The 8,071-nt window shown below is 39.2% G+C and overlaps 2 annotated features.

The window, feature by feature from the left end:
* Positions 2,123–2,323: a silencer, noted in NCBI's record as "peak5041 fragment used in MPRA reporter construct". NCBI's record gives its function as "represses an SCP1 promoter by STARR-seq MPRAs in K562 erythroleukemia cells {active_cell/tissue: K562}" and the evidence as "EXISTENCE:reporter gene assay evidence [ECO:0000049][PMID:32103011]".
* Positions 4,213–4,413: a silencer, noted in NCBI's record as "peak5042 fragment used in MPRA reporter construct". NCBI's record gives its function as "represses an SCP1 promoter by STARR-seq MPRAs in K562 erythroleukemia cells {active_cell/tissue: K562}" and the evidence as "EXISTENCE:reporter gene assay evidence [ECO:0000049][PMID:32103011]".

Genomic DNA, 8,071 nt, shown 5'->3' on the forward strand with positions numbered 1-8,071 from the left:
CCCTCTCTCTTGCATTGTCAATGTTACTTTTTCCAGAATCTCTCTTTTTTTTTTGCTTCCACCACTCTAGAAATTCCTCTTACTCTTATCATTGTCAACCTGACTGTATTATTACTAATTCAATAGTAAAATTCTCAATCCTCTTGCTACTTAACCTATCAACAGCATCTGACACATTTCATTCTTTACATCTCCTTGATGTGGCTTCTACAACTCCACACTCACCTGACTTTCTCATAACTCACCAGGTACTTCTTTTAGTCTGTGTGCTAATTTCTTTTTTGTTCACCAACCTCTTGATGAAGAAGAAACCGAGGGCTCAGTCCTTGGACCTCATCTATTTTCTCTCTACATCCACTTCTTTGGTAATCTCAGTCAGATTGAAGGCTTTAAATAGTGCCTCTATGCTGATGACTCTCAGATTTAATTTCCAGCTGGGATCTAGCCTCTCAACTTCAAACTCCCACTCAACATCTCCACATGCACATCTAAAAGGCATCTCAAGGGCAGCATACCCCAACTCTCCAAATGAACTCTCAAACTCCTCCTGCCCCCTAAACCTAAAACAGTCTATCTTAGTGAAGAACAGCTTCATTTTTCCACTTGTTTAGACTGAAAACCTTGGAGTCACCCTTTACTCCTCTCTCTTTCTTGGCCTCTCACACACACGTGCATCTTGTCTTATTAAAAAACAAATCCTACCAATTCTGTCTTCAAAATATATCCAGAGTCCCATCATGTTTCACCATGTCTGCTGCTGCTTCCTTTCTGGCCCAGGCCACCATTTTTTTGCTGAGATTATTGCAATAGCCTCCTAAGTGGTCCTCCTGCTTCTTTCTGTGAATTCTCAACATTGCAGTAATAGGCATCCTAGGAAAACTTACCAGTCAGATCATATCACTCTTCTGCTCAAAACTCTCCAATATCTACCATCTCACTCATTTTAAGAACCAAGGTTTTTACAATAATGGCCTGTAAGTCCCTATAGGATGTGTGGCTGCCTGTTAACTCTCTGACTTTATCTTCTATAAACTCAATTCCCTGTGCTCCTGCCCTGCTGGGCATCTTATTCCTTCTCAGACTTGCCAGATGTGCTTCCACAACAGTGTTTGCACTCACTTCCTTAGTGGCCTGGAATGCTCTTCCCCCAGACACCAACATGACTTATGTCTTCACTTCCTCATTCATCGCGTCTGTGCAGGTATTCTCTTCTCAGGAGGGATTCCCCTGCCTGCCATATTTCAAAATGGAAGACTCAGCCCTGACTCTCTGGTCTCTTTCCCTGCTTTACTTTTCTCTGTAGCACTTTCATCATATAGCACACTACATATTTTACTTATACTCTTTTTTTTTTTTTTTTTGAGACGCAGTCTCACACTGTCACCCAGGCTGGAGTGCAGTAGCGTGATCTTGGCTCACTGCAAGCTCTGCCTCCTGGGTTCACACCATTCTCCTGCCTCAGCCTCCCGAGTAGCTGGGACTACAGGTGCCCGCCACCACGCCCAGCTAATATTTTGTATTTTTAGTAGAGACGGGATTTCACCAGGTTAGCCAGGATGGCCTCGATCTCCTGACCTCATGATCCGCTGACCTTGGCCTCCCAAAGTGCTGGGATTACAGGTGTGAGCCACCGTGCCCAGCCCCCATATTTTACTTATATTCTTTATTAACTCTCCCTCCCTGTTCAGACGCAAACTTTATGAGAGTGAGGATTTTTTGTTTTATTGTATTCTCTACTGTCTCAGGTTCCTAAAGCAAAGAATTTTAAAACTTGAAAAGTTCTTAGATGTTTAGAAAATAGGCAACATACTCAATTACAGTGTTGTTATAATAATAATAATAATGAACATTGTAATGCTTACTGTGTGTCAATCACTACTTTAATGGTTTTTCTATGTCTGTCTATTCATAAAATTAGCTCATTTAACCCTCACAATTAACCTATAAAGTAGAAAATACTTTTGTCCACATTTTATAAATAAAGAAATTAAGTCCCAGAGAGGTTAATGATGAGGCTTAGGACATGCTACCCCAAAATATGGCACCTTGGTATTTGAGAAAACAGCAAAAGCAGAAAGGTCACTCTCACCTTCCCCTCATCACTTCTCCCATAAAGCAGGCCATAAAACCTAACTGACCTTCCCCATAAGACCCTATACATGGAGGAAAAGAACATTCTTATCTCTGAAGACACTGAGACCCAGAAAAGAATCTGAGCAAACAGGCTTTGCTAAGTTTCCCCAGTCTATCACCATTAGATCATACTTGTCCTCGCATACTTCTCCACAACTATCAACTTTATCAAACAGCATAGAAATACACAGGTTTCCCTGTTTCTTTGGGTCTTCATTTCTGAAGCCTTCTGTGTCCTGTAACACTTATATTGAATAATTGTTATGCTTATCTCTTGTTAATCTGTCCTTTGTTTTACAGACCTCAGCCACGAACCTAGCAACATACATTTAAAAACACGCTCAAGATTACACTGTATATGGAAAATCAAAATTTGGATCTGGAATTTATGCTTAACTTCTCTAGGCTCTGTTTCCTCTGTTAAAATTGAGAAAAAAAGATATTTGCAGGATTGTGGCGAGAATTATATATAATATATTGAGGGTATAAAGACAACAGCACAGTGTCTAACTCTGGGATGTCAGTACATGGAAGCAATAATTATGCTGCAACTGCTAAACATACAGAGTAAAATTTGATACAAGGAATCTGAAAATACCTTTCTAAATAGAAGTGCTATGTTATTCAGTCTCCCAATTTGTGTTTTGTTTGGTGGAGCCATATTTAAGAGAGGCCTTCAAAATCACACAAATAAAAATTAGTCTTTCTGCTCTTTGGAAAAAAATTAATTGGAGTTCATTTTTGTTATTGTTTTCTTAGCTTAGTGGCTGTATTATGCAAGTCTGTATCAATATACACACAGTCTAACAATGCAGGCATATTTTCAAGTGAAAGGGGGTAGATTTTGTAAACCACTCAGTATTTGTTTCGTTAGTCCAAGACTCTAACCTTCTCTTCATTCAAGCTTGCAGAGTTCCAATATAAAGAAATCTTTAAACCCCATGCTGCTGACTGGCATGAGCTCTGTTCTGGTACCATAGAGGAGCCAGACATAAGGCTCCAGACAGGGACCCTGAAATGAAGTAGGTAGATTGATGTCCCCATTTGTGATCCAGTGCCCCAAAATAACTTCACAGCATGAGTGACTGTGTGAGGGCCCTACTGAATTTGTATTCTAGAACAGACTAAAAGGTCAACATGCATGTATATTTACAAAGGAATTGGTATTTGCTAATCAGTTAGGGGAAATGTTTCTTCCTTTGTAGCAATTTCTCAAAAAAAAAGCTTCTTAAAGAGAGCATCTCATCTCTTTTTCTGTAGAAAGCCTGCAGTCAGTCTTAGAAAACTCTCACAAATTACACTTCTGTATTTTCTGAAATACTTAGGACAAAACGTGGTCAAACTGATAGTCTACTCATGCTACAATCTTATAACCAAGATTAAGATGCAATGTCAAATAGTAAGTTTTTCATATCCATTAAAGGGGGAAAATGTGCATACTTGTTTTGAAGCCATATTGTTGTATAAATTCCCTAGACTGGCAAATATTCTTTAGTTGCAAACTATGGGTGGAGCATGTCAGTTTCACATGTGACAATAATTGTCAACCACCTTTATCAGAATAGAGATTATACCGCTATACAATTCCTCTGATAGTAAGAATGAGTAAAGTGATCTTCTATCTCCAATCCCCAATTCTATAGACATAAACTTATTTGTCATGTTATCCTGGCTTAATTAGTTCTGAAAACATTTGTTAGCATGACTCTTATAGAGATATCTAGAAAAATACATTAATAATGAAAACACTCCTTTTGAAAATATAAAATCAGAGTTGCTTAGTAGCCCTCCATCTCCTTTTCAGGCTATGCTGTCTGATAGACTGCTTCTCCAGAATCCATGTCCTTTACATCAGGTAACTCTTCCAGTCACCAAACAGCACTTGCACCTGACAAAGTGATGGAATTGCTGGGCCTCACAGCTTCTCTGCCTCTATTCACTCCACTGCTCAGTTTGTTGTGATCACTACATCTCCCTTTCTCAGTCAACCCTCTCTCATAACCCTTTAAAATTTCACACTAGAGATTATTTTACATAGAGTATAGTTCTAATTTTGTGAGTTCTAACAACATAGAATAGAATCCCTTAATGCCTTTAATCACTTAATCCCTGTGACACCCCCACTTCCAGGAATATCTGATTACCTCCATGATTTATGTCTTCTTGCAAAGCTTAACCACAGTAGCTGGCACTTCCTCATCTGGCCTCAGCCCCCTGCTGTTTTATTTCTTCTTCAGTTACTACTCTCAGTATTCATTCTCATCCACTACTTTACAAATATTACTCAATAAATATCAGTTTAATTAAGTTGGGTTTTTTCTTATTATTTTAGTAACTTTGGATTCTAAATGTGCTTCTGGGTATAAAGTGAGCTTTGGTTTTATACATGAGTGCCTTGGGAATTTATTGAAGGGATAATTAACGCATATTTGAGTTTGTGGAGAAAAACTAGAATGGGTAATTTGGAGGTAAAGATAAAAAGATGACAGAAACATCACCTAGTTAAGACAAAGGTAATACTAGGATGAATCTGAGAGATCTATCAACCCAAACAAGTATAATAAAAACAATGTTTAGCTTACAATACGCATAGAATGTGAACTCCAGTGGATAATGGTGATGGGCAAGGCAGCAAGGTAAATGAAGCAACTATTACACATGGACAAAAGATCAATCAGTAAAGAGGGTTGGTATGAGGTCATAGCTGCAGTTAACACTTGTAATTCAGCCACAATGATATTCTGTCATGAGGAAAATACAATAAGTTTAAAGATTTGCCATCTAATAAGATGTTTTTATTAGTGGAGCATAAACACAATGTTGTATCAAATGATGGATTAGTACTCAAAGAATGAGAGTTGAAATAATTTTTTTTTCAGATAGTTTCACTCTGTTGCCCAGGCTGGAGTGCAGTGGCACGATCTTGGCTCACTGCAACCTCCACCTCCCAGGTTCAAGTGATTCTTATGCCTCAGCCTCTCCACTATCTGGGATTACAGGTTTGTGCCACCACACCCAGCTAATTTTTTGTCTTTTTAGTAGACATAGGGTTTCATCATGTTGGACAGGCTAGTCTTGAACTCCTGACCTCAAGTGATCCGTCTGCCTCAGCCTCCCAAAGTGCTGGGATTAAAAGTGTGGGCCACTGCACCTGGCCTGAAATAAATTTTTATTTGATAATGTATCCATATATTTTTATTGCCTGAATCCTGTAGTTTTACTGAGTAGTTTTTTGAGGAAATGGAAGAACTAGTTATCTCATCCCTTAGATTAACAAAAATTATAGGAAAAAAAAGCTCATGAGAATATTTAAACAATAATTTGTGTACATTACTATTATAATCCTATTGACCCATAAAGATGTGCACGTACTTATTACACATGCACACACACACACACACACACACACACACGCACGCATGGCCATAACTGTGCCCTGGCCAGACTTTACCTGCCCATAGGTCTCAGAGCCCAATTCCTCACCTCCAATGTGAAGAACTAGATATGGGGGCAGGAATGTAGATAGCAGGGGCTTGGGGCAACAAGAATGTGTGCACTGCTAGTGGTGTGTACAATGTAGCTGCAGGGAAGTGAGTGAGCAAAAACATGGGTGTGTGCACACAACCAGCATGGCTGCCATGTAGAATTCTTCAGGTTCTACAATATTAAGAAAATTTACTTAAGAAAGGAAATCTTTTCTAATTCAAAAAAAGGTATTAAATGGATTAATGGTGTCCCTCCTTCTGAAGCTAAACCTAGAAATATAACACTATATAAGAAGAGGCAGAAAAAAACATACCTACAAGAGAAGCAGAAAAATCAGGAACCAGCTCACAAAATGGACTTAAGACTAGAAGAAAAATGGAATGCAAGTTGAAGACAGAGTTAGTAAACTATAGACAGAAAACGTGGAGCAGAGAAGGGATAATTGGGTGCCACTGAAGAATGTAGTGGTCTGCTGCCACTTTCCCTGATTGCTTGTGTTCAGATCCCTGGGCAGCCACTTACTAAATGGTACTTGTATTAGCCTGTTCTCACACTTCTATGAACAACTTCTGGAGACTGGGTGATTTATAAGGAAAGAGGTTTAGGCCAGGCGCAGTGTGCTCATGCCTGTAATCCCAGCACTTTGGGAGGCCAAGGTGGGTGGATCACGAGGTCAGGAGTTCAAGACCAGCCTGGCCAAGATGGTGAAATCTCGTCTCTACTAAAAACACAAAAATTAGCTGGGCATGGTGGCATGCACCTGTAATCCTAGCTGCTCAGGAGGCTGAGGCAGGAGAATCCCTTGAACCCAGGAGGTGGGGGTTGCAGTGAGCCGAGATCGTGCCATTGCTCTCCAGCCTGGGCAACAAGAGCGAAACTCCGTCAAAAAAAAAAAAAAAAGAAAGAAAGAAAGGAAAGAGGTGTAATTGACTCACAGTTCTGCATGGCGGAGGAGGCCTCAGGAAACTTACAATCATGGCGAAAGGGGGAGCAGACACCTTCTTCACAAGAAGGCAGGAGGAGAGACGAGTGTGTGAGAGTGCAGGAAAAACTACATTTGTATAACCATCAGATCTTGTGAGAATTTACTCACTATCAAGAGAACAGAATGGGGGAACCACTCCCATGATCCAATCACTTCCTTCCTTCAACATGTGGGGATCACAATTTGAGATGAGATTTGCGTGGGACACAGAGCCAAACTATATTAGTGCCCATGGTCAAGTCATTTAAACTGCAAGTGCCTGGATTTCCTCGTCTGCAAATTAAGATCATGACACTACACTTGTCATAAGTTTTGTGTATGTAAGTACATTAAATAAAGAAACAAGTCTAAAGCACATAGTAATAATAAACATTCAATAAATGTTGTTATCATTAATGTTAGTCTTATTATTATTCACAAATGGTTTGGTAACAGGTTCTCAAAGCCATAAATTGCTCTGCACCAAAGCCTCTTCCCTGACTTACCTCCATGACATGAGAAATCAGTAAAGGCAGTATCACATCCCTTCCAAATCTGTATGTCCAGTGGGATCTTCTAGCAGGACCAGAGAGCAGTGGAAGGACAGGGCCAACATAAAAATGGTGCCCAGAAGAAAGCTCTCTGCTCGTTTCCATCTCTTCCATTTTCCAAGTCAGCAGGCAAAGGATAGTATCCAAAAATATGAAGCCACTTGTCTAGGAATATGGCCAGGTGGATAAAAGTGAGTACATGGTGTGCAATTAATCATGCACAGTATTGTGGAGTTACATACATTACTAAGAATTGCCAATAAATCTGTCAATTAAGTTATAATACCAGAATGAATTAAGGACATAAGGAAATTGTCCATAGAACCTAACATTTTCATTAAAACACAATAAAAATGTTGCCCTAAATTTTGTTTCTGGGGCAGAACTCTTTCCAGTGGTTGCATGATAATTTTTTAAAAGAAATAAAGGCCTTTTTAAGAAGCAAATAGCATGGCGTCACTGTATTCCAGACTAAACCTAAGAAAAATGTTTCTTACTTTCTATTTAGGTGATCTAAATATACTATAAATAACGCAAGAAACTTCTAGAACTCCTCTAAGCTATAATGAACCTAAAATAGAAGCAGAAGATTATGAGTAATAAACAAGCTTACCAGGACAAATGTGATGCATATCATAGCAAAACCCCCAGGGCATCAAAAATAATGATGAAACACCACATATTTGACGGGGGTGCTGCAGCAGCTGTCAGAACAGCATGGAGTATCAATACAAGCTACAGAGAAATTGTGTTTAAGTATGGTCCCCGAGCCCACTGTGCACCTAGGAGTTGTGACAGGCACTTCAAATAGCATCTTTAATGACTATTCAAATAAAGATAGAATGATTCGTGATATCCTTTCTCATTTTTTTAAATACCAAATATGAAGCCAACCCTACATAAATTCCTTTACCTTGCTGAGTGAGAAAAAATCTCT

The sequence above is a fragment of the Homo sapiens genome, chromosome 4 (assembly GCF_000001405.40).
Source record: "Homo sapiens chromosome 4, GRCh38.p14 Primary Assembly".
Taxonomy (NCBI): domain Eukaryota; kingdom Metazoa; phylum Chordata; class Mammalia; order Primates; family Hominidae; genus Homo; species Homo sapiens.